This window comes from Homo sapiens, chromosome 9 (genome assembly GCF_000001405.40).
Source record: "Homo sapiens chromosome 9, GRCh38.p14 Primary Assembly".
NCBI classification, from domain to species: Eukaryota; Metazoa; Chordata; class Mammalia; order Primates; family Hominidae; genus Homo; species Homo sapiens.
Window position 1 is genome coordinate 112,780,417 of NC_000009.12, and position 26,335 is coordinate 112,806,751.

Genomic DNA, 26,335 nt, shown 5'->3' on the forward strand with positions numbered 1-26,335 from the left:
AGAAAGTTGTAATTCCTGCTTGGCACAGCCTAAGGAAATCATTCTAGAGTCCTCAAAATTCTTGATGTGGGTTTGCTGATGGCAGCTGGAAGGGGATCTCTAAGCCTTCTATTTGCACTTCTGGAAGCTGTTTTCTTTGCACCAAAATCCAAGAAGAATGGGTTTTTTGCTTTCTCTATGTGGGCTCCTCCCTTGGTGTGGTAGCGCCATCATGCATAGAATTTAAAATGTTCCTTACATCTACCATCTGCACAGCATTTGTCTGACTGCCACTTGTGTCTTCTGCTACCTTGGGTGATTTTGAGGACTGTCTGCTTTCCCGGGGCTTGAATTTCATAGTAAGATGAAATTCACTAGGTATAAATATTACCATCTGTCATTAGTCACCACTGACAGAGGAAAAGCACTTGGGTCATTGAAAACAAATGGATACGGTAATGTGCTCTGAATCTTTGTCCCCGGCTTAGACATTGATGACGCTTAGCCATGGCTGAAAATTGAAGGTGGGGATGCCAGTTCTGTTATCAACATTTTCTCTTTAGCCAAGATGATTCAGCCCGTCACAGAGTCCCCTAACCATAGTATTGTCATCCAGCCTACATTCTCTCTTGTTTGCAAAGTCCTTCCCTTGCTCTTTTGGCACTGAATGGAGCTTTGAAAAAGCCATTTTATTTTGGTGGTGGTGTCCTGAATATATTTTTAGTGTGTTGTAGTAGAAACAATGTGGCTTTGCAATCAGAGGTAATCTTTTTAATCTTTGTCACTTTGGTGGGAGAAACAATATCTTGTTTTCATTTTCATTTTGTATGCTATTGATGATGAATGATTATTGTTTATTGGCTATATTTACATAATTTGTTCATTTTTGTAGTGGAATCTGCCTTTTAAATACTGATTTTTCAAAACCCTTAATATGTTAAAGCAAACAACCTATTTTCATGTATGTTCAAATCCTTTCCCCAGTTTGTTATTTATATTTTAATCTTTGTTATGTCTTCTTGACATAGAAAAAAAATTGCTGTCTATTATGCTTTTCCTTTATGGATTCTGCTTTTTGTTGGGGTTTAGAAAGCCTTTCCAACCACAGGATTTTATATACTATTCATCGAAATCAGAAATTGGCAGACTAAGGCCAAAAGGGTGTATCTGTCCAGCTGCCTGTTTTAGTATAACCCATGGGTTAAGAATGCTTTTTTATTGTCTTGTTTAATTTTATTAAAACTTTTTTTTTTTAAGACAGATTCTTGCTCTGTTGCCCAGGCTGGAGTGCAGTGGCGTGATCTGGGCTCACTGTAATGTCCACCTCTCAGGTTCAGGGGATTCCCATGCCTCAGCCTCCTGAGTAGCTGGGATTACAGGTGCCCACCACCACGCTTGGCTAATTTTTTTTTTTTTTTGTATATTTAGTAGAGACGGGGTTTTGCCATGTTGGTCAGGCTGGTCTTAAACTCCTGAAATCAGGTGATCCACCCGCCTTATCCTCCCAAAGTGCTGGGATTACAGGCATGAGCCACTGCGCCCCGCCCACCATTAGTTTTAAAAGTGATTTTTACATTTCTAAGTGGCTGATGAAATAAAAAGAATTATATTCTGTGCCATGTGAAAATTAGTGAAATTAAAATTTCAGTCTTTGTTAGTAAAGGTTTTTTATTTTTTATTGTTTTTTTGAGACGGAGTTTTGCTCTTATTGTCCAGGCTGGAGTGCAATGGTGCAACCTCGGCTCACTGCACCCTCTACCTTCCGGGTTCAAGAGATTCTCCTGCCTCAGCCTCCCGAGTAGCTGGAGTTACAGGCATGTGCCACCATGCCTGTTTAATTTTGTATTTTTATTAGAGATGGGGTTTCACCATGTTGGTCAGGCTGGTCTCTAACTCCTGACCTCAGGTGGTCCGCCTGCCTCAGCTTCCTAAAGTGCTGGGATTATAGGTGTGAGCCACCATGCCCTGCCATAAAGTTTTATTAGAACATAACCATCCTCATTTGTTTACCTACTGTCTATAGCTGCCTTTGCACTACAACAGCTGACTTGAGTTGTTGCAGGAGAGATACTGTGGCCACAGACTGTTCCTTAACAAAAAAGTTTGCTGACCCCTGGTATAAATCATCATGTAGTACTCATTTTTTTAACCTTTAAATGGCCTGACATTTATTTTTGCATTTAGCATTAGAGAAACTATTTTCTAAATAGTTAACCAAAAAATCCATCAGCATTTATTGAATAATCTATTCTGTCTTCACTCTTTGAAGTTCCATAGTTATCATTATTAAAACTCAGATCTGTTCCATCAGTTTAGGGATTGACATGGTGAGTTATCAAGCTATTTGGATAAGAGAGATGTTACTCAAGAGTTCCCTGGAGATGAGATTCCCCTTAACCTCCTGCATTAACACTGAATGTTCAAGTCAGATGTGCCCCTGCACAATGCTGTCTGACCACTCACATTTATTTCTATTGTAAGAGCAGACACTGGTGGGGCCTCGTTTTATTTTTCCGGATTCTGTTGGGGATTGCTGATGGCTAAGTGGAGCTGTGTGTTAATGGTTTCTGGTACTTTGGGTTGGATCTTCTCTGGAGCTGGCTGACTCTTCAGCTCCCTTGAGAAGAGAAGTGGCTTGATTTATTTTTCTGCCACTGGTGGTTCAGGAGTTTCATTGTTTTAAGAAACACTAATGAAGAATTGCTTACCACCAGGCACTTCTCCAGATGCCACAGATGCAAAGGTGAATGTGGTGGTAGTTGGGGGTTTCTTGTCCGGTAGGTAACTGTTTAATGAAATCTCTGGCGCCATGGAGGCAGACGGTGAAGGGCTACTAGCCTCTGCTCTGGAGTCTCCAGGCTGGGTTGTGCCTCTGCTTCTTATTAGCTGAGTGACTTCTTGTCTTTTAACTTTCCTGGTCTGTAACCTGTTCTCTTAATAAAACAGGGATAATAAAATTCCTCCCCTCTGCCACCAAGTTATTTTAAGGGTTAAGTGAGACATTTAATATGTAAAGTGACTTACACAGTGCCTGGCAGAGAGTGTGAACTTAAACATTTAATTTCTTTATCTTCCCTTCCCTTGATTTAGAGCTATATGTATAGACTGCTGTGAAAGGATGGATTTTGTCCCTAAGTCCATCTTAGCCCCAAGACTTTGCTTTCTATTTTGGGGTTTTGTTGTGGTTTTGAGTCAACTCATAGTCCAGGTTCCCGGGCAATCAGCTGTCCACCTTTTGCTGTCTGCCAAGGGTGGGTCCATATGTCCTAAGGAGAACACTCAGGCCAGGTGTCAGAGCCAGGTTGCGATGACAGTCTGTGGGCTGTTTGTGCAGCTGGCCTCCTTAAATGGACTATGGTCAAGATTCCCCATGTCAGTTTCTGTGCTGAGGGCTGCTGGTTTGTGAGAGTGGAAAAAACGGTTTGAATCAGGTATCACTGAAGCAAATTACTGAAGGTGAGTGACCTGTGAGAGGCAGCTGTCACGTGGGTAAGAATATGTTAAGGTGTACCCAGTGACCTTGGCTTGAGCCTTTGCTGAACACAGTCATTTCAGTAGGACTTGCCCTCATATCCTAAGGATGGGCTCTGTAGATGGCACACAGGGCTGTTGAACTTGGGTTTATTCAATTTTGCTAGAATAATAGCAGTTTCTAATCCTCTGTAATTTACCTGAATTGAAACATGATTCCTCCTGGTGTGGCCAGACTGTTTTTTTCCACCTAGGAAACATTCATCAGGGTATCCCAGGCCATATGATCTTAGCATTGACAACACCTCTCATCTGCCCTTGCCTCTCCTGGCACCTACCCCCTAGGTCAGGTACTACTGGGAGAGGGGTACCTGGACAGTTGGCAGCTCCCCAACTGCTCCCTCTCACGTCTCCTGTATTTCCCTCTTTATTTTTTCTGCATGCTTTTTTCTGAAGTCTTTTTGTAAAATGTGTCCATGATTGCAGCTTGCTGCTTAACAGCCGTTACCTGTGGGGTGCACCTCAGATTGTTAAGCCTGTTATTTAAGATTCCCTAGGATTCTGGAGCTAATCCACTTTCCAGGCCTTATTTCCTGCTGCTTCCCCTAGAGCAGCTCATGTCCATTCAGGATGACTGGTCCCCTGCCCGTGCCTTCTTTTTTGCCTTCTGCACTTCACCCCTTGGCGATTTTGCTGATGTGGTGTTCCGTGCCAGGAACACCTTTCTCTTCCATTGAACAGCTCTGCAGAGTTTATAGAGGACTTTCTCACACATCCCCAGTAATCTCCATGCAGCCTAGCCTGGACCAGGTTTTGCTGTTTTCCAGTGAACGTCAGTAGGTTTAAGTGGTTTTCTTATGACCTCATAGCTGGTAGGAGAACTAGAATCTAAACCCGGGTCTCTTGCCATCCTGCCAAGCCCAGGTCAAACCTCCCTCTCTGAAGCCTTCCTCGGAGAACAGAATTATTCTGGCTTTCTTCTGGGCTCTAGTACACAGGTCACCTAAACTAGATTCCTCAAGTAAATTCCTTATTGGCTCCCTTTCCTCCACATCTAGAATAGCACCTAGCAGTCCATGGGAACTTGATAAGTGTTTGGATGAATACATAAGCGAACAGATTTTGCTTTCCATATCTTCTAATACGTGGTTTGGGGGAGTATAGCACCATGTTAATTAGGCTGCTTAAAACTCCTGTGTGTTGGAAAACACCTATGTTTTGGTCTATAGAATAAATAGGGAGTGATTATTTTGTCCCACTCTTTCTGCCATCTCATAGAAACATAATCAAGTATTTCATTACTTGAAGAAGGTTGCTTACAACACATTTAACTGTATCTATATTTTGGGAATGTAATTTTTTTTTTTGAGACATGACCTCACTCTGTCACCCAGGGTGGAGTATGGTAGTGTGATCACAGCTCCCTGCAGCCTCGACCTCCTGGGCTTAAGCGATCCTCCCACCTCATCCTCCCGAGTAGCTGGGACTACAGGTGTGTACTACCATGCCTGGCTAAGTTTTTTTTTTTTTTTTTGGAGATAGAATCTCACTCTGTCACCCAGGCTGGAGTGCAGTGGCACAATCTCGGCTCACTGCAACCTCTGCCTCCCTGGTTCAAGCGATTCTCATGCCTTAGCCTCCTGAGTAGCTGGGATTACAGGCATTTGCCACCATGCCCGGCTAATTTTTGTATTTTTTGTAGAGATGGGGTTTTGCCATCTTGACCTGGCTGGTCTCAAACTCCTGGCCTCAAGTGATCTGCCTGCCTTGGCTTTCCAAAGTGCTGGGATTACAGGCATGTGCCACCACGCCTGGCCGTGCCTGGCTAAGTTTTAAATTTTTTTGTAGAGATAGGATTTCACTAGGTTGCCTAGGTTGTTGGTCTTGAACTCCTGGGCTCAAGCAATCCTCCCACCTTGGCCTCCCAAAGTGCTAGGATTACTTGCCAGCCTAGGAATGTAATTTTTAGCTAAATTTTGTCTAACAACACTATACCTAGGAGAAGCTTTGAGGAAAGCCACCTCTCCCTTAATCTATCAGCACCCTTTTCAACAATAACCTTAACTAAATAATAATAATATTCTTCAGCTGATGGTTTTCTGTATCATATGTGAAGTGGAAATAAAAGCATCTTTAGAAATCCTTACAGCTTATTGATCTCTTGCATATTGGCTTCAAGATAAGCCCCCAAGCCTCTCCATACAGATGGATACCCTGTAGTTGCTGCTGTACTAACATGTAGGAGCTGTCCTTTTTTTTTTTTTTTTTGGAGACAAGATCTCACCCTGTCACCCAGGCTGGAATGCAGTGGCACCATCTTGGCTCACCACAGCCTTGACCTCCTGGGCTTAGGTGATCCTACCACCTCAGCCTCCTGAGTAGCTGGGACTATAGCCGTGCACCATCACGCTCTGCTAATCTTTTGTATTTTTTTTGTAGAGACAGGGTTTTGTTGTGTTGCCCAGGCTGGTCTCGAACTCCTGGACTCAAGTGATCTGCCTGCTGTAGCCTCCCAAAGTGCTGGGATTATGGGCCTGAGCCACCCTGCCTGGCCTCTTGTCTCTTTTCTGACTTCATTTTACACCTCATAGTTTATAGCTAAGTAAGGCTGTAAGAGTTTTTTTTTCCTCATTCATTCCTTCACTTTCTTCCTTCTTCTGTGTCTGTCCCTCTCCTAGTAGTGCATGGCCCTTGTTTACAGAGCTCATTTCTGTCTCTGGACTCAGAATGCCCATGTGAGAGGGCAAGACTGTGTGACCAGTATTAAATTTAAGGCCCTTTTCTTTTACGTCTGTCCTTGACTTTTTTTTTTTAAACTTTTGAGATGGGGTTCCACCATGTTGCCCAGGCTCATCTCGAACTTGTGGGCTCAAGCAATCTGCCCACCTTGGCCTCCCAAGTGCTAGGATTACAGGTGTGAGCCACCACGCCTGGCCCCTTCTTGCCTTTTTAAAATTTTCTTTACCTCTCCTTGTCTGGTTACTTAGGTGTGAAACTCCTTTGAGCCATTTTGGTTTAGAATACCCTCTTCCTGTTTTTTCTCTTATTCTTTAATGTTTTAACTATGATCAGACTCTTGGTTCAGGGCCTTTTTCTTTTCCAGTGAACACGCTAACCATGGGAATAGAAATCACCCACATTCGGTCTGAGTCATGTCAGTGGGAATGTGGGAATTCGATCTGGGGCAGCCAGGTAGCCAGTCAGGTGGCGCTCCAGCCTGGAAGGCCATCTGTACTTTTGGGTTGTAGGCTAGCACACTTCAGGATTCTAAAAAGATGCTGTGTGGAAACTGTGTCTCAGGCCTCGAAAAGTTCCACGGAAAAACATCTCTTCTAGCTGCTTTGTGGTGAGATGCAGATCTAAATCAATACAACATTATTGAGTGCCACAAAACTAGTACTGTACAGGGAGAACCTGTTCTGTACGGGGAGAAAAAAATGAAGTGAAGACACTGTGGAAGGAAGTATGACCTATTTGAATGTAGTCACACGTTTCCTTCTCATTTAGCACATCCTCTTGTGTTCATTTTAGGTTTGGATTGAGGATTTAAGGACAGCCCCCAGCCCCATAGGTAGGGTATGGGTGTCACAAATCATTAAATGTGGAAGTACTATACTAGAGGGCAGTTTGAATTTGGGTAGCTCAGGTAGGTCGAAATGTATTTCTGTTTCCTATTTTTAGTTTAGAGAGACAGTTTAGAATCTGTCGTGATTTTTTTCCCTCCCTAGGTATTTTTGAGGCTCTAATAATTATAGGTTCTCTCCTAAGAAGCTTAGATGTAACATCTAAGCTCCCAAAGAAGATTGGCATTTGCATGTGCACATGCAAATGTTGGTGCATAATTTTTGGCCCCCAAGGTGCCTATGGGTTTCAGAGAGACAGTCCCTATTGTAGAGGAATGGTGAGTTTTCGGTAATTTTTGAGGCAAGGACGCTTTTTTTTTTTTTAAAGATGGAGTCTCGCTCTGTCGCCCAGGGTAGAGTACAGTGGCGCGATCTTGGCTCACTGCAACCTCTGCCTCCCGGGTTCAAGCAGTTCTTCTGTCTCAGCCTCCCGAGTAGCTGGGACTACAGACGCATGCCACCACACCTGGCTAATTTTTTTTTGTATGTTTACTAGAAACAGGGTTCTACCATATTGATCAGGCTGGTCTTGAACTCCTGACCTCAGGGGATCCACCCAAGGCAAGGACACTTTTAGTCTTGCTAAAAGTGCAAGGCTTTTGCAGCACATCTGAGAAGTGTGGGCTGTAAGAGTGGATTAACAGTAACCACTTGGCACCTGCTATTGGAAGTTGAGTCCTGCCCTGTTCCTCACTTGAGTGTTTTTTTTTGTCCTTGAGAAGGTTTGGGCTGGGGTGATGATTAATCAACAAGCACATACTCAGCTCTGTATGATATTTTGTTTCCTCTAGGCCTTTGTTCTGAAAACTCAAAATGCCGTTTTCTTGGACTTTCCTTAGGCACCTGACTTCTTAGGTCACATGCAGAGTGCACTCCGCGTGTGTAGTACCATGTCAGATGGTAGCACAGAAACATGTCAATGAGAACCAGGCTTTGTAAGATGAACAGATGGTACAGTTAAGAGGAATTGGGCGAAGGGTAGGAAAAGAACTATTGTTTATGAAGGGGTCGTTCTAGGCACCTTCTTCCTACCTAAGGAACGCCTGGATTGTGGTGTAGCACAGCCCTACCTGGGCTCCTCACACACCACTCGAGGGACCTCATGCTTGTTACGTATAAGACTTTTCCATATGTGTAATAGAGACAACTTGGATGATCTCTGGGGGCTTCTACACCCTAGACCCTTGTGTGATTTTGGTGCAGAAGTTTCAGTGGAGGAATGCCTTCCTTAGGTTTATAAGTTTTCAGTTGGCAAGATCCTGAGAATGAGGGTCAAAGTGGGCAGAAAAGAGAGCAGGATTTCAGGATTTTTTGTTTCTTTCTTGAGGCAGTGTCTTGCTCTGTGACTCAGGCTGGAGTGCAGTGGCACGATCTCGGCTCACCACAGCCTCAACCTCCTGGGCTTAGGTGATCCTCCCACCTCAGCCTCCCCAGTAGATGGGACCACAGGCATGCGCCACCACGCCCAGCTAATTTTTGTATTTTTTGTAGAGATAGGGTTTCACTATGTTGCCCAGGCTGGTCTTGAACTCCTGGGCTCAAGCAATCCTCCTGCCTTGGCCTCCCAAAATGCTGGGATTACATGAGTGCGCCACTGCACCTGGCCCCGAGAACAGGATTTTAGGTCGAGTTGTGTTCTCTTTGTTCGTGCCCTCTGGAAAGGTGCATTCTGTCTTTGTAGAAAGCTGTCTGCTTGTTCTGTTGAGTCCTCCAGGTGGCATGCACATCCTTGACCAGCAGCAGAGGAAGAATTTTTGTGTTGGGGATCTTAGTTATTGTTAGGAACAGGCTCTCGGAAATGCCTCTCGCCCTTGATTTTTGGGGATTTCTCAGCCTGGAATGTCCTGGCCAAGCTCTCCCCCAGCCTTGTTTTTCCATTTGGCAAGTCTACTTATTCTTCTCAAGTTGCCCCCATCCATTCATGGAGCTCTGTTCATAGCCACTATTGCATTGCATCAGAGTTAGAGGTCTCATGTCCATATTCCCAACTAAAGTTATTTAAACACAGATGCTATATTCTGTTTTGTTTGGTAGCACTGCATTGGGATTTTGGCCTTGTGTATTCGGTGTTTAGTATATGCTTGAAATACTGGATCTTCCTTAGAAGGAATGAACAGGAATTGTGTATGGTAAATGCAGCTGAGAGTTGGGGAAAATCTTGGCTCCTAAGAATCATAAGAATGTCTGGAGAAGTGAATGTTAGTCTGGAGATTCTTAGAAAAATCTATTAACAGACACTGGTAAGTTTGCCAAGGAATGTGGACCTGGATTCTTTCATTTTGACTTTATGATCTTGTTAAGAAGTGTTCTTTTGCATCAGGCCAATGGGTAGAATTTGCTTGAAGGGCAGATTTTCTAATAGAAAACCTATGAAAAACATTTTCAGTTTCTAAACAACTTTAGTGACAAAGCTTTGAAACAGGTGATCTCTTAAACCATGTCTAAAGAAAAAGCCTTGCCTTATGAAAAATGGTCCTGAATCCAAAGTAGAAACACATAAAACTGTTCAGGGGGGATACTAACTTAGAAACCATAGGCTATGGGCCTTGGGAACTTGGAGATACTTGTACAAGCAACCTTGGAGTTTTTGGAGAATATTTGAGATGGGAATTCCTGGGCTGTGTGGCAAGGGAAACTGAACTTCCTACTAATAAGCAAGTAGCAGTGCAGAACTTGAGACTTACTATCAATAGTTAAGATACATTTGAATAACTCTCCAAAACAAAAGATAAATCTCTATGTCTTAATATTCCCTACTTTTTATATCACTGTGTCCTATTTAGACTGTTAAAAATTATACAGACATTTTAATGATTATATGTACTAGTCAGCTTTGCTGTGGTAATAACTCCAAAAATGCTAAGGTGTGCAACAAACATGTATTTCTAGGTCATGCCGTGTGTCAGTGGCTGTGAGTCAGCTTCTCTGGCCCTCTCCTGCAAGTCTTCCCATTCCAAAGGAGCAGCCCCTGTTTGGGACACACTACTTTCAAAGTCGAGGAGCAAGGGAGCTGGTGGAAGCATGCGTTGGCTCTTAAAGGATCTGCTCTGATCCGATGTACATTCATGTACCATGTACCAGTGGCTGGAGCAAGTCACGTGTCCAAGGCCAAAGTCAGTGTGGTGGGGATGTGTCTTCCTGTGGGAAGTCACTTGGCAATAAGAAGAATATATGATCCTTTTAAAGGATGGGAAGTTCATAATTATGAACACTAATGCAATCTACCATATAGTCTTTGTCCTCCACTTCTTTCCCAGAACATTTAGTAAATATAGCAGTTCATGTTTACCATTTAAAAATGCTTTAAACACATTTGCTCCCTATTATGTATATTACAAATTTTAGATAATTTGGGAGGAGCCTGACCTATTGCCATGAACTCATGTGGCAGATCACTGTATGAGTTCAAGTATTCTTCTCTATATTATTGCGGTAACTAGACTTTCCAGAATGGTTTTGAATTATGGCAAATACTTTATATCTGAATGTAGTGGACATGGCTTTGTGATTTAAAAGGTCTTCATTTTTAAAATATGTCCACTACATTTTTTATTGTTTTATTGTTATTGGAGATAATTTACAGAGCATGAAATTCACCATTTTAAGGTATATAATTGAGTGTATATTCACAGGGTTGTGCAACCATCATCGCTATCTAATTTTAGAATATTTTGTCACCCCAAAAAGAAATTTGGTCTTTATTAAGCTGGCTCTCCCTGTTCCCCCTACCTGTAGCCCCTGGCAACCAAGTCTGCTTTCTGTCTCTCAGGATTTGCCTGTTCTGACATTTCATATAAATGGAATTATATAGCATGTGGCTTTTCTCATCTAGCTTCGTTCACTTAGAATAATGTCTTCAAGATTAATTGCTGATGTTTTCTGATAAATACTTTTAAACATATTTAGGAACTTTTTTTTTTTTTTTTTTTTTTTTTTTTTGAGACGGAGCCTTGCTCTGTCGCCAGGCTGGAGTGCAGTGGCGCAATTGCGCTGCTCACTGCAACCTCCGCCTCCTGGGTTCAAGCGATTCTCCTGCCTCAGTCTCCCAAGTAGCTGAGACTACAGGTGTGTGCCACCACGCCCAGCTAATTTTTGTATTTTTAGTAGAGATGGGGTTTCACCATGTTGGCCAGGCTGGTTTCAATCTTTGACCTCGTGATCCACCCGCCTTGGCCTCTCAAAGTACTGGGATTACAGGCATGAGCCACTGCACCTGGCCGGGAACTTTCTTTTTACTTCTTAATTTTACTTAGAGATTTAAATGGAATGGCTGATATGAGTGATGCCAGTAAATATTTTGGTAGTTTTGGACATGAGTATCTTCAACAGTGGTTGAAGTAATGTATATTAATGTAATATAGTGTAATGAAGTAATGTTATTAATGTAATAAATTGTATTGATAAATTTCCTAATGTTAAATCATTCTTGCTTCCCTGGAATACATTTGACTTGATCCTGGTATATATTTTTTTTCCAAAAATTCTTTTAGTGTACTGTTAGTTGTTACTTTATTAATGATGTTTATGCTTGTTCTCAGTTTTCTTTTTTGTCCTAATATTTTGATACCGGATATAGATAGTCATCATGAAATGATTTGAAAGGTTTCTGCATTTTAAAATTATGTCTTAGAATATTTGAATAAAGTAGGACTTACTCTTTGAAGGTTCATGAGTGCTCACTGTGAAACACTTGGGACCCAGCTTACCTCTTCGTGGATGTTCTCTGACAACAGTTTTGTGGTTATTTATCTGTTTAGGTTTTTTCTCTCTATTTAATTTCACCTTGATCACATAATTTTTCCTAGAAAGCCAGCTAGCTCATATAGATGTCCAAATTTGTTGGCATAGTTATTCACAGCACAACCTTTTAATTTACAATCATACATAGACACAAGTTCTAAATAGTTATTGCCTGTTCCCTTTTTCCATTTTCCTCTTTTTTTATTTTTTATTGAGACAGCATCTCTCTCCGTCGCCCAGCCTGGAGTACAATGGTGCGATCTCTGCTCACTGCAACCTCTGCCTCCTAGGTTCAAGCAATTCTCATGCCTCAGCCTCCTGAGTAGCTGTGACTACAGGCTTGAGCCACCACGCCTGGCTAACTTTTTGTATTTTTACTAGAGACAGGGTTTCCCCATGCTGCTCAGGCTGGTCTTGAGCTCCTGGGCTCAAGCAATCCACCTGCCTCGGTCTCCCAAAGTGCTGGGATTATAGGTTTGAGGCCACTACACCTGGGCCATTTTCCTTTTTCTATATTGTTCAGATTTCCTAAGTTTTAGTTTATCTGATTCATCTTTCAGAAGAATTAAATTTTGCTTTTGTTTATAACTTTTGTTCTTTTCTGTTTTAATTTATGCTTTCATTTTTAGATTCTCTTTCCACTTTCTTTAGGCTTTTTTTTTTCTTTTTCTTTTAATGGGAACACAGAGTAAGTCTGGCCTAAAGGGTTCTGTTTTATGGGCTTCATCTTTTTCAAATGCATGTTTATCTGTTATTGAGGACTCTTGCTTTTTTTGTGTTTTGGTTTTCTTAGGTCTGAGTGATGAGCTAATGCCATTTTGAGTTGTTTTTATGGTTTACTTGCCTCTGATGAGATAATAATTCAGACCTGCTATTTGCCCCCATCAGAACAAGTGGATTATATTGGATCCTCTGTGTTTCTACTTGATGTTGTTAGCATTGTCTTAGATCCATAGATTACTAGTTATCTGTCAGATGGGAAAGAAGCCTGGCTTTCTCTGTGTTTTAGCTGCTCCCCCCATCTCAGTAGAGCTCAGTCCCCCCAGCATTTGCAGTCTGGCCTGCTTTGGGCTTGTTGGACACACCCCAGGGCAGCCAACCCAGATGCCTTCATGTTCCTATGAGCTGCTGCTTCCATCTCTACCCATCATGCGGGGGGAGAAGGCCATGTGGGCGGGGTGCCCTCTGCTGGTGGCCCACACTTGGTGTATTTGCCTGTGCTTGGCATCCCCTTGGTCACAGTCACAGCAGCCAACTCCTTGGTGGTCCTGGATTGCCCCACTGCCAAACCTTCCATGTCCTCTACTCCCCACTGACAATCACACTTTCAAATTAGCGTGCGTGTAAAGGGGGTTCAAGGACATTTTCTACTTATTAAGTAACCTCAATAACCTGAAGTAACTTCGGTGACATGGGTTAGATTCCTCTGGGTTCTTTTTTCAGTTGTGGCCCAGGTAGAACCAGTAGACAGCCTTTGAGACCTTTGGCATTTGGATGGCACCCTTTCCTCATTTCCAGTATTGATATGACTCCAGTCACTGTTTTTCTTGTTCTTTTTACCTCCACTGTTTTTTGTTTTTTTTTTTTTCTTTCATTCTCTAGGTTAAATTAGTATCTGGAGGGTGGAAAAAGGGAGAACGCAGAGGCTTGTGTTCAACTCACTGAGTTTATCTAGAGGTCTAGCTTTCTAATTTTTTAAACAAGTGTGTCACATTACACATACAAACATGACCGCTTCCTGGTTATTGAGCCTTTGGGATTTTTCTAGGTTTCACTCTGTGTTCTTTGTATCATGAACATCTTTGAACAGAACATTTTTGAGATTATCCCTTTGAGTTTATTCTCCAAAGTGGGCTTAGCTTTAGTTTTACAACAAAATCAACAATCAAGAATATTCAGTTTGTATAGAACACATTCATTCATTTTTTTTCTTTTTTTTTGAGATGGAGTCTTGCTCTTGTCGCATAGGTTGGAGTGCAGTGGCGTGATCTCAGGTCACTGCACCCGCCGCCTCCCAAGTTCAAGCAGTTCTCCTGCCTCAGCCTCCTGAGTAGCGGGGATTACAGACGTGTGCCAACACCCCTGGCTAATTTTTGTATTTTTAGTAGAGATGGGGTTTTACCATGTTGGTCAGGTTGGTCTTGAACTCCTGACCTCGTGATCCACCCGCCTCGACCTCCCAAAGTGCTGGGATTACAGGTGTGAGCCACTGCGCGTGGCCAACACATTCTTTAAGCATCTGCTGTGTACCTGGCACGAGGGGGGTAAATTAAGAAAAGTAATATGCAGTCTGTGTATTCAGAGAGCCATCATTTTACCCTTAACGTAAAGATGCCTTGAGAGGCTTTGTCAGGCTCCTCTGAGACTAGATCATTCACTTGCCCATATTCCTCCAATAGAATCAAAAAGAGAAATTAGATTGTTTTAGCATAACTTATTTTTATTAAAACTATATTGGCTCCTAGTCTATACCACTCTCTTCATAAATCATATGTTTAATGTAATATAAAATTTTGCCAGTGATTTATGTTAATTTAATATTCTGTCTTGTGGCTGGCTGACCATAATGGTGTATCTTAAAATTGAAATTCTTTGAACCAGAGGAGTTTGTAAAGCAACCTCACTCTGCATCTGTCTTCCTAGGGTAAAGTAAAAGTGGGAAGGAGTAAGAAATGCTCTTATAATGGAAACCTACATGGTGAAAATTGGTATTTTGCAACAATGGGGAGTTTTCATTATTAATCAACTATGTAGTTGTAACTCTTCACAAAGGCTATTCTGGATATCCTTTGTTATAATAAAATCATTAAGAAAATATATTTGAGGCCCCAACTGTGGGTCTCAATGCAATTTTTATTTTTTAGCAATTATTGTGTGTCTGCTATGAACCCAGCCTCATAGTTTATAAGAGGATGCAAGAATACTTACAAGCACGTGTGTGTGTGTCTGTGTGTGTGTGTATGAGAGAGAGAGAATAGTGATACAGCACCAGCCATGTACCACACACTATTCCAACTGCTTCCATATACTAACTAACTCAATCCCACTATACCCATTTTATAAATGAGGACATCGGGGCTTAGATTAAGAAGCTTGCTTAAGTTGCACTGGTAGTAATTAGTGGTACTGGGATTCAGAACTGGGCAGTCTGGCTCAGGTTAGCCTCAGTTGCTTGTCCTTCCACAGACATTTATTGAGTACTTTTGATAGGCAAGGGATTGAATTTGGTCGTTTCTAAGATTCATTCATTCATGAAATACTGAGTACCTACCATGGGCCAGGGTAGCATAGGAGGGAAGAATCTGGAGTATGTGGCAAGGTCTGATTGACTGACTCTCCCCTCCCTCACTCCCAACAACTGATTCGAGAACTAACTTCATACTGTCTGGCCAAGACATTTCAGATCTTTATGTGGGCTGTTCCTGGAAGGTTATTGGCTGAGGTTCCCAGGGCAAATGTTAGGGGAGTTGGCTTGAAGTCACTACCCGACCTGGGGAGACAGAAAGATAATCACACACACACACTCACAGTACAGTCACACACACACACACACACACACACACACACGCACACATGATGAGCAAGGCACAGTTGCAGTCACTGGGGACTTACAGTGTTTGTGGATAAGTTTGATATATAAATAAATGATTAAAACTACAAAATGCTTCAGTGGAGGTGTCTTCAAAGTATTGAGAAGGGTGTGAGTAATTCTACCAGGGAGTGGGTCAAGGAAAGCGTTAAAGGAGAGGGGATTCAAGCAGATTCCTGGAAGATATTTGGAGATTATTATGTACAGCAGGGGAGCTTTTCCAGCAAAGATAAGGGGCATGAAACTGCTGGGTGGTTCCTGAGAACTGGTCCCTCGGATGTGGAAGGAGGTGGTAAGAAAGGAGGCTGCTGAGATCAAACCAGGCCAGATTGTGGGAAACCACTGTCTGAGCTGATTTTGGCATCTCTGCCTTAAGATTGTGAATTCTTTTTCTTTTGTGCAGTGTCTGTCCACTGACAGAGCTGTTCGGAGGCCCGGTGTGCTAGTGTTGATAAAATGTTAAGGGAGGGCCCCTGTGATGCCTAGCATGGCATCCTGCCTGAGGTCAGTGTTTAAATGTTTACTGAAATAACCAAGACATGATGTTTATCCTGGAGTTCCAGAGAAGATGTTGTCCCCCTACAAATCCCCAGACACTGGGGTGTGGACGCCGTGTGTCCCGTGGTACCAGTACATTGAAAAGGCAGTCCCATCAGTGGCTGCTGCTGTAGTTGGACTCTGCAGTCACGTCCACACTGAGAGGGGCTGTTGAAGGTATGACGTCCCAGCTGATGAGCTTGTCCATCTGCCCTGTAGTCAGAAGCATAACGGAAGAGAAGCGGAGGGGGGAGGTCTATTGCCATGAGTACCTTCTGTGAAAAATGGTACCCTTTTAGTAATTACAGTTTTTTTGATATTGCGTAGGTATGTGATTAAATGATCTGTGGTCAGCAGAAATGGGAGTTGAAGGTGCTTTTTCTGTGTACTTTCCATTACCCCCCAAGTTGGGTGACATTGCCCTTGACCCCAGGCCACACTTCTTCACTCCGCCGTGTCCCATTGCCCTTCCCAGATGTCCCGTCATCAGCTAGAGCTCATGGATGTGACTGCTAGGTTAACCTCTAATTTCCTGTACGTTCTCTTGCATGGGGGCTAGGTCATAACTCACCTGCAAAACTCCAAGAGGAGAGAATATAGGGAAAGCACCCCCTCCTCCCCAGCCTGTGATCTGATGGCCCACAGGTCACCCAGGCTCTTCCCATGGTGTCATGTCACTTTCTTGCCATATTCTTTAGTCTCTGTTTCCCAGTTATTCCAAAGCGATATTCAGAGGCCTTCACATCTGCTGCTAGGCAGGGCTCTGTTCTGTTACCAAACCTCCAAACCAAACAAGATAACTAACTAGGCCTTCTTAGTTTCACAGCCATTTTTTGAATACTGTAGGGACATAATTTATTCATTGGCTTCTTACCAAGACCAAAGAGCGAGGTCTGCAATTTAAAAAATCTATCTTTCCCTTCCTTTCCTGGCATTTGTCCCACTGACTACCCTCCTACCCACTACTCTCTTTTAAAAACGTCATAGAAAATTTTAAGCATATAGAAAAGGGAAGAGAATTGTATAATGAACCTGCAGGTACCAGCTTCAATGGTGATCAGCTTGGGCATCTTGTATCATTTATATCCCCACCTACTCATCCTTAATTATTTTGAAGCAAATGCCATTTTATTTTATTCATAAATATTTTAGTATATAATTTTAAAAGATGAAGATTTTGTAAAATCATACTTCCATTATCATACCCAGTGATTCCTTAATATCAATATTCAAATTTCCCTAAATATCTCAAAATCTTTATCTTTTTGTATCTTGTTTTAATGGAATTGGTTGATCTCTTAAGTTTCTTTACATTTATAGGTGCTTGCGCTCTCTCTTCTTTTCTTTTTCTTTTTCTTTTTTTTTTTTTTTTGAGATGGAGTCTTGCTCTGTCGCCCAGACTGGAGTGCAGTGGCATGATCCCGGCTCACTGCAACCTCTGCCTGCCGGGGTTCAAGCAATTCTCCTGCCTCAGCCCCCCGAGTAGGCGCACGCCACCGTGCCCAGCTAATATTGGTATTTTTTTTTTTTTTTTTTTTAGTAGAGACGATTTCACCATGTTGGCCAGGCTGGTCTTGAACTCCTGACCTCAAGTGATCTGCCTGCCTTCGCCTCCCAAAGTGCTGTAATTACAGGCGTGAGGCACTGCGCGCCCAGCCAGGTTTCTTAATGTTTACCTGGGCCCACGTGGTGGTCTTGACAAAGTGGGAAAAACGGAGTATGCTCACAGGGAGCTTTCCTTGTTGAGGTTTGTTTTTTTTTTTTTCTTTTTTTTTTTTTTTTTTTATTATACTCTAAGTTTTAGGGTACATGTGCACATTGTGCAGGTTAGTTACATATGTATACATGTGCCATGCTGGTGCACTGCACCCACTAATGTGTCATCTAGCATTAGGTATATCTCCCAATGCTATCCCTCCCCCCTCCCCCGACCCCACCACAGTCCCCAGAGTGTGATATTCCCCTTCCTGTGTCCATGTGATCTCATTGTTCAATTCCCACCTATGAGTGAGAATATGCGGTGTTTGGTTTTTTGTTCTTGCGATAGTTTACTGAGAATGATGGTTTCCAATTTCATCCATGTCCCTACAAAGGATATGAACTCATCATTTTTTATGGCTGCATAGTATTCCATGGTGTATATGTGCCACATTTTCTTAATCCAGTCTATCATTGTTGGACATTTGGGTTGGTTCCAAGTCTTTGCTATTGTGAATAGTGCCGCAATAAACATACGTGTGCATGTGTCTTTATAGCAGCATGATTTATACTCATTTGGGTATATACCCAGTAATGGGATGGCTGGGTCAAATGGTATTTCTAGTTCTAGATCCCTGAGGAATCGCCACACTGACTTCCACAATGGTTGAACTAGTTTACAGTCCCACCAACAGTGTAAAAGTGTTCCTATTTCTCCGCATCCTCTCCAGCACCTGTTGTTTCCTGACTTTTTAATGATTGCCATTCTAACTGGTGTGAGATGATATCTCATAGTGGTTTTGATTTGCATTTCTCTGATGGCCAGTGATGATGAGCATTTCTTCATGTGTTTTTTGACTGCATAAATGTCTTCTTTTGAGAAGTGTCTGTTCATGTCCTTCGCCCACTTTTTGATGGGGTTGTTTGTTTTTTTCTTGTAAATTTGTTTGAGTTCATTGTAGATTCTGGATATTAGCCCTTTGTCAGATGAGTAGGTTGCAAAAATTTTCTCCCATTCTGTAGGTTGCCTGTTCACTCTGATGGTAGTTTCTTTTGCTGTGCAGAAGCTCTTTAGTTTAATTAGATCCCATTTGTCAATTTTGTCTTTTGTTGCCATTGCTTTTGGTGTTTTGGACATGAAGTCCTTGCCCACGCCTATGTCCTGAATGGTAATGCCTAGGTTTTCTTCTAGGGTTTTTATGGTTTTAGGTTTAACGTTTAAATCTTTAATCCATCTTGAATTGATTTTTGTATAAGGTGTAAGGAAGGGATCCAGTTTCAGCTTTCTACATATGGCTAGCCAGTTTTCCCAGCACCATTTATTAAATAGGGAATCCTTTCCCCATTGCTTGTTTTTCTCAGGTTTGTCAAAGATCAGATAGTTGTAGATATGCGGCATTATTTCTGAGGGCTCTGTTCTGTTCCATTGATCTATATCTCTGTTTTGGTACCAGTACCATGCTGTTTTGGTTACTGTAGCCTTGTAGTATAGTTTGAAGTCAGGTAGTGTGATGCCTCCAGCTTTGTTCTTTTGGCTTAGGATTGACTTGGCAATGCGGGCTCTTTTTTGGTTCCATATGAACTTTAAAGTAGTTTTTTCCAATTCTGTGAAGAAAGTCATTGGTAGCTTGATGGGGATGGCATTGAATCTGTAAATTACCTTGGGCAGTATGGCCATTTTCACGATATTGATTCTTCCTACCCATGAACATGGAATGTTCTTCCATTTGTTTGTCTCCTCTTTTATTTCCTTGAGCAGTGGTTTGTAGTTCTCCTTGAAGAGGTCCTTCACATCCCTTGTAAGTTGGATTCCTAGGTATTTTATTCTCTTTGAAGCAATTGTGAATGGGAGTTCACCCATGATTTGGCTCTCTGTTTGTCTGTTGTTGGTGTATAAGAATGCTTGTGATTTTTGTACATTGATTTTGTATCCTGAGACTTTGCTGAAGTTGCTTATCAGCTTAAGGAGATTTTGGGCTGAGACGATGGGGTTTTCTAGATAAACAATCATGTCGTCTGCAAACAGGGACAATTTGACTTCCTCTTTTCCTAATTGAATACCCTTTATTTCCTTCTCCTGCCTGATTGCCCTGGCCAGAACTTCCAACACTATGTTGAATAGGAGCGGTGAGAGAGGGCATCCCTGTCTTGTGCCGGTTTTCAAAGGGAATGCTTCCAGTTTTTGCCCATTCAGTATGATATTGGCTGTGGGTTTGTCATAGATAGCTCTTATTATTTTGAAATACGTCCCATCAATACCTAATTTATTGAGAGTTTTTAGCATGAAGGGTTGTTGAATTTTGTCAAAGGCTTTTTCTGCATCTATTGAGATAATCATGTGGTTTTTGTCTTTGGCTCTGTTTATATGCTGGATTACATTTATTGATTTGCGTATATTGAACCAGCCTTGCATCCCAGGGATGAAGCCCACTTGATCATGGTGGATAAGCTTTTTGATGTGCTGCTGGATTCGGTTTGCCAGTATTTTATTGAGGATTTTTGCATCAATGTTCATCAAGGATATTGGTCTAAAATTCTCTTTTTTGGTTGTGTCTCTGCCCGGCTTTGGTATCAGAATGATGCTGGCCTCATAAAATGAGTTAGGGAGGATTCCCTCTTTTTCTATTGATTGGAATAGTTTCAGAAGGAATGGTACCAGTTCCTCCATGTACCTCTGGTAGAATTCGGCTGTGAATCCATCTGGTCCTGGACTCTTTTTGGTTGGTAAACTATTGATTATTGCCACAATTTCAGAGCCTGTTATTGGTCTATTCAGAGATTCAACTTCTTCCTGGTTTAGTCTTGGGAGAGTGTATGTGTCGAGGAATGTATCCATTTCTTCTAGATTTTCTAGTTTATTTGCGTAGAGGTGTTTGTAGTATTCTCTGATGGTAGTTTGTATTTCTGTGGGATCGGTGGTGATATCCCCTTTATCATTTTTTATTGTGTCTATTTGATTCTTCTCTCTTTTTTTCTTTATTAGTCTTGCTAGCGGTCTATCAATTTTGTTGATCCTTTCAAAAAACCAGCTCCTGGATTCATTGATTTTTTGAAGGGTTTTTTGTGTCTCTATTTCCTTCAGTTCTGCTCTGATTTTAGTTATTTCTTGCCTTCTGCTAGCTTTTGAATGTGTTTGCTCTTGCTTTTCTAGTTCTTTTAATTGTGATGTTAGGGTGGGTGTCAATTTTGGATCTTTCCTGCTTTCTCTTGTAGGCATTTAGTGCTATAAATTTCCCTCTACACACTGCTTTGAATGCGTCCCAGAGATTCTGGTATGTGGTGTCTTTGTTCTCGTTGGTTTCAAAGAACATCTTTATTTCTGCCTTCATTTCGTTATGTACCCAGTAGTCATTCAGGAGCAGGTTGTTCAGTTTCCATGTAGTTGAGCGGCTTTGAGTGAGATTCTTAATCCTGAGTTCTAGTTTGATTGCACTGTGGTCTGAGAGATAGTTTGTTATAATTTCTGTTCTTTTACATTTGCTGAGGAGAGCTTTACTTCCACCTATGTGGTCAATTTTGGAATAGGTGTGGTGTGGTGCTGAAAAAAATGTATATTCTGTTGATTTGGGGTGGAGAGTTCTGTAGATGTCTATTAGGTCTGCTTGGTGCAGAGCTGAGTTCAATTCCTGGGTATCCTTGTTGACTTTCTGTCTCGTTGATCTGTCTAATGTTGACAGTGGGGTGTTAAAGTCTCCCATTATTAATGTGTGGGAGTCTAAGTCTCTTTGTAGGTCACTGAGGACTTGCTTTATGAATCTGGGTGCTCCTGTATTGGGTGCATAAATATTTAGGATAGTTAGCTCCTCTTGTTGAATTGATCCCTTTACCATTATGTAATGGCCTTCTTTGTTTCTTTTGATCTTTGTTGGTTTAAAGTCTGTTTTATCAGAGACTAGGATTGCAACCCCTGCCTTTTTTTGTTTTCCATTGGCTTGGTAGATCTTCCTCCATCCTTTTATTTTGAGCCTATGTGTGTCTCTGCACGTGAGATGGGTTTCCTGAATACAGCACACTGATGGGTCTTGACTCTTTATCCAACTTGCCAGTCTGTGTCTTTTAATTGCAGAATTTAGTCCATTTATATTTAAAGTTAATATTGTTATGTGTGAATTTGATCCTGTCATTATGATGTTAGCTGGTGATTTTGCTCATTAGTTGATGCAGTTTCTTCCTAGTCTCGATGGTCTTTACATTTTGGCATGATTTTGCAGCGGCTGGTACCGGTTGTTCCTTTCCATGTTTAGCGCTTCCTTCAGGAGCTCTTTTAGGGCAGGCCTGGTGGTGACAAAATCTCTCAACATTTGCTTGTCTATAAAGTATTTTATTTCTCCTTCACTTATGAAGCTTAGTTTGGCTGGATATGAAATTCTGGGTTGAAAATTCTTTTCTTTAAGAATGTTGAATATTGGCCCCCACTCTCTTCTGGCTTGTAGGGTTTCTGCCGAGAGATCCGCTGTTAGTCTGATGGGCTTTCCTTTGAGGGTAACCCGACCTTTCTCTCTGGCTGCCCTTAACATTTTTTCCTTCATTTCAACTTTGGTGAATCTGACAATTATGTGTCTTGGAGTTGCTCTTCTCGAGGAGTATCTTTGTGGTGTTCTCTGTATTTCCTGAATCTGAACGTTGGCCTGCCTTGCTAGATTGGGGAAGTTCTCCTGGATAATATCCTGCAGAGTGTTTTCCAACTTGGTTCCATTCTCCACATCACTTTCAGGTACACCAATCAGACGTAGATTTGGTCTTTTCACATAGTCCCATATTTCTTGGAGGCTTTGCTCATTTCTTTTTATTCTTTTTTCTCTAAACTTCCCTTCTCGCTTCATTTCATTCATTTCATCTTCCATTGTTGATACCCTTTCTTCCAGTTGATCGCATCGGCTCCTGAGGCTTCTGCATTCTTCACGTAGTTCTCGAGCCTTGGTTTTCAGCTCCATCAGCTCCTTTAAGCACTTCTCTGTATTGGTTATTCTAGTTATACATTCTTCTAAATTTTTTTCAAAGTTTTCAACTTCTTTGCCTTTGGTTTGAATGTCCTCCCGTAGCTCAGAGTAATTTGATCGTCTGAAGCCTTCTTCTCTCAGCTCGTCAAAATCATTCTCCATCCAGCTTTGTTCTGTTGCTGGTGAGGAACTGCGTTCCTTTGGAGGAGGAGAGGCGCTCTGCGTTTTAGAGTTTCCAGTTTTTCTGTTCTGTTTTTTCCCCATCTTTGTGGTTTTATCTACTTTTGGTCTTTGATGATGGTGATGTACAGATGGGTTTTCGGTGTAGATGTCCTTTCTGGTTGTTAGTTTTCCTTCTAACAGACAGGACCCTCAGCTGCAGGTCTGTTGGAATACCCTGCCGTGTGAGGTGTCAGTGTGCCCCTGCTGGGGGGTGCCTCCCAGTTAGGCTGCTCGGGGGTCAGGAGTCAGGGACCCACTTGAGGAGGCAGTCTGCCCGTTCTCAGATCTCCAGCTGCGTGCTGGGAGAACCACTGCTCTCTTCAAAGCTGTCAGACAGGGACACTTAAGTCTGCAGAGGTTACTGCTGTCTTTTTGTTTGTCTGTGCCCTGCCCCCAGAGGTGGAGCCTACAGAGGCAGGCAGGCCTCCTTGAGCTGTGGTGGGCTCCACCCAGTTTGAGCTTCCCGGCTGCTTTGTTTACCTAAGCAAGCCTGGGCAATGGCGGGCGCCCCTCCCCCAGCCTCGTTGCCGCCTTGCAGTTTGATCTCAGACTGCTGTGCTAGCAATCAGCGAGATTCCGTGGGCGTAGGACCCTCCGAGCCAGGTGTGGGATATAGTCTCGTGGTGCGCCGTTTCTTAAGCCGGTCTGAAAAGCGCAATATTCGGGTGGGAGTGACCCGATTTTCCAGGTGCATCCGTCACCCCTTTCTTTGACTCGGAAAGGGAACTCCCTGACCCCTTGCGCTTCCCAGGTGAGGCAATGCCTCGCCCTGCTTCGGCTCGCGCACGGTGCGCACACACACTGGCCTGCGCCCACTGTCTGGCACTCCCTAGTGAGATGAACCCGGTACCTCAGATGGAAATGCAGAAATCACCGTCTTCTGCGTCGCTCACGCTGGGAGCTGTAGACCGGAGCTGTTCCTATTCGGCCATCTTGGCTCCTCCGCAGAGGTTTGTTTTTTTTTTTTAAATGGAGTTTCGCTCTTGTTGCCCAGGTTGGAGTGCAATGGCGCAGTCTCGGCTCACTGCAACCTCCGCCTCCCAGGTTCAAGCAATTCTCCTGCCTCAGCTTCCCGAGTAGCTGGGATCACAGGCATGCACCACCATGTCCAGCTAATTTTTGTATATTTAGTAGAGACGGGGTTTCACCATGTTGGCCAGGCTGGTCTCAAACTCGTGACCTCAGGTGAGCCACCTGTCTCGGCCTCCCAAAGTGCTGGGATTACAGGCGTGAGCCACTGCGCCCAGCCCCTTGTTGAGGTTTGATGATGGTGGGGCCATTATGTTCTCTGCCCTTGAACTGCTTACTTATATTGGTTTCTCCAGCACTTCCTAAAAGATGAATTGGCATGAAATTGATTCAAAGCACTACCATAGTTTGTTTCTCTTGGTCGTAAAAGATTTGTTCACTCAAGAAACACTGAGTAGGGAGAGGCTCAGGTGTTTCGAAAGTTATTTTTGGGTTTTAGAAATGTTTATTGGTTTGGCTAAACCAGCTGCTTTTGCTGATACTCTCCAGTATGTTTTCATTTAATTTTAAGGTGCTCTTTTCTTCTTTTAGGATCTCATTTTGCCCAACGGTGGTACTCCAGCAGGTACTTCAAGTCCAGCTTCTTCATCTTCCCTTCTCAACAGACTTCAGCTTGATGATGATATTGATGGTGAGACTAGAGATCTCTTCGTTATAGTTGATGATCCCAAGAAGCATGTGTGTACAATGGAGACTTACATCACCTATAGGATCACCACCAAAGTAGGTCCCTGTGTTATAGAATGCCCGTGTTGAGTGGTCTCGGGGAATTGGGGTCTACCTCAGTGAATTTTGCCTTTGCTCTCCCCCTTATTGTACAACTCTGTTCACCTTGATTGCAATTGTGAGTGTGGCTTCTTGAGAGAATAGATGTAATTCAGATGAAAAGGATTATATATAATAGTTTTTTAAATCTTAGAATGAGGAAGAAATTGTAAGATTTTTCAAATAAACATTTAATCCCTATACTTGCGCTTATTTTTTTTTTTACCATGATACTATTTAACATGTTAATATCATATTGCTTCTGAAATTTATGAATCATTGTATCAACCTAAATCACTGTGATGAGACCATGAATAAAATTTGGCCTAGGTGGGGTTGATGGTAGCAGGAGGAGGAATAATGGGAGGATAGAAACTAATACTGTCTTTCTGGTATGTGTCAGATAGGTAGTGGGCAGGTGTTGAGATTTAATTGATTAATTAAATAACTTTTAAGATCATAACAATTTTTTATTTTGAGACAGAGTCTTGCTCTGTTGCCCAGGCTGGAGTGCAGTGGTGTGATCTCAGCCCACTGCAACTTCCACCTCCTGGGTTCAAGCAATTCTCTTGCCTCAGCCTCCTGAGTAGCTGAGATTATAGGCATGTGCCACTATGCCCAGCTAATTTTTGTATTTTTAGTAGAGACAGGGTTTCACCTTATTGGCCAGGCTGGTCTCGAACTCCTGACCTCAGATGATCCACCTGCCTCGGCCTCCCAAAGTGCTGGGATTACAGGCATGAGCCACCACGCCCAGCCAAGATCATAACAATCTTAAAACTTATATCCTTTAGTTACAATTTTTCAGATGAAGAAATAGAGGTGGAAAGTTCAAATAACTCGCTCAAAGTTACAAAGTTGGTAACCAGGATTCTAATTTGAATTTGTAGGACTATACAGCCTATATTTTAATTTTTAAAAACCATACTCTTTACATAATTCCACTTATAAAAGAATAATTTTAATGTATCATTTGTTACTTATGAAAATTATTTTTTGAATATTTAAAATAGTATTAAAGTTTTAGTCTTGGAACAAGGTTTCCCAATCTTGGCAGTATTAACCTTTTGGACTGAAGAGTTCTTTGCTGTGGGGGGCTGTCTTATAGAGTGTTTATCAGCAGCCCTGTCCTCTACCCATGAGACGGCAGGAGTGTTCTCTTGGTCCCCAGTTGTGACAACCAAAAATGTCTCCAGACATTGCCAAATGTTCCCTGGGGGACAGGATTGCCACCCCACCCCCGACCAGTTGAAAGCCACATATTTAGAGGAAGAATGACAATATTGACATTATTAGGGAGAGAATTCACATTATCACTTTGTATCTTGGGATAAAAAAGTGTTTAGTTAGGAAGCTATCCTATTTCTTGGTACCCCACCCCCACCAAGTCACATAACAAAGAATGATTTACAGATATTTTTGGAACCTTTAATAGATGGTGTCTTTATGGAAGGCATTAAGAGAAGCTCTGATGAGCGTGTCCCTCGTCTTTTACTGTGTCTTTTTTCTTTTTCATTGTAGAAAAAAATCATTTTTTATTTTGAAAGTTTTGTAAGTTCTGTACCTTTTAAAATTCTTTGGAAAGACAAGCAGGGAATAAAATACTCAAGTTGTGTTTCTTCATCTCTTATTGGATGAAAATTTTATATTTGTAAAAAAATAAAAGAAGCGATGCTGAAGGCCACATGCTGAGTGGAAACAGGGAGCCTCCCTCAGCCCTTCTTACTTACCTTGTCCTTCTT

General features: G+C 42.2%; 1 protein-coding gene across 10 annotated transcripts in view, besides 3 other annotated features; it reads left to right on the forward strand.

The window, feature by feature from the left end:
• The window catches only part of SNX30 (sorting nexin family member 30), a 136,047-nt gene that overhangs the window by 30,694 nt on the left and 79,018 nt on the right, over positions 1 to 26,335 (forward strand). For all 10 annotated transcript variants that reach the window (XR_007061307.1, XR_007061301.1, XR_007061302.1 and 7 more), the window contains exon 2: positions 24,360 to 24,551. Coding sequence is in view for 3 of the 10 variants with exons in the window: in XM_047423393.1 (XP_047279349.1) it covers positions 24,360 to 24,551 (192 nt within the window). In the remaining 7 variants the exon portion in view is untranslated. The remainder of the gene's footprint in view (positions 1 to 24,359; positions 24,552 to 26,335) is intronic.
• Positions 15,093 to 15,387: an enhancer, noted in NCBI's record as "tiled region #12854; K562 Activating DNase matched - State 8:EnhW". NCBI's record gives its function as "activates a minimal TATA promoter and a strong SV40 promoter by Sharpr-MPRA in K562 cells {active_cell/tissue: K562}" and the evidence as "EXISTENCE:reporter gene assay evidence [ECO:0000049][PMID:27701403]".
• Positions 22,965 to 23,592: an enhancer, noted in NCBI's record as "OCT4-H3K27ac-H3K4me1 hESC enhancer chr9:115565661-115566288 (GRCh37/hg19 assembly coordinates)". NCBI's record gives its function as "activates a minimal SCP1, AML or CMV promoter by ChIP-STARR-seq in primed H9 embryonic stem cells {active_cell/tissue: H9 hESC(primed)}" and the evidence as "EXISTENCE:reporter gene assay evidence [ECO:0000049][PMID:30033119]".
• Positions 23,593 to 24,218: an enhancer, noted in NCBI's record as "OCT4-H3K27ac-H3K4me1 hESC enhancer chr9:115566289-115566914 (GRCh37/hg19 assembly coordinates)". NCBI's record gives its function as "activates a minimal SCP1, AML or CMV promoter by ChIP-STARR-seq in primed H9 embryonic stem cells {active_cell/tissue: H9 hESC(primed)}" and the evidence as "EXISTENCE:reporter gene assay evidence [ECO:0000049][PMID:30033119]".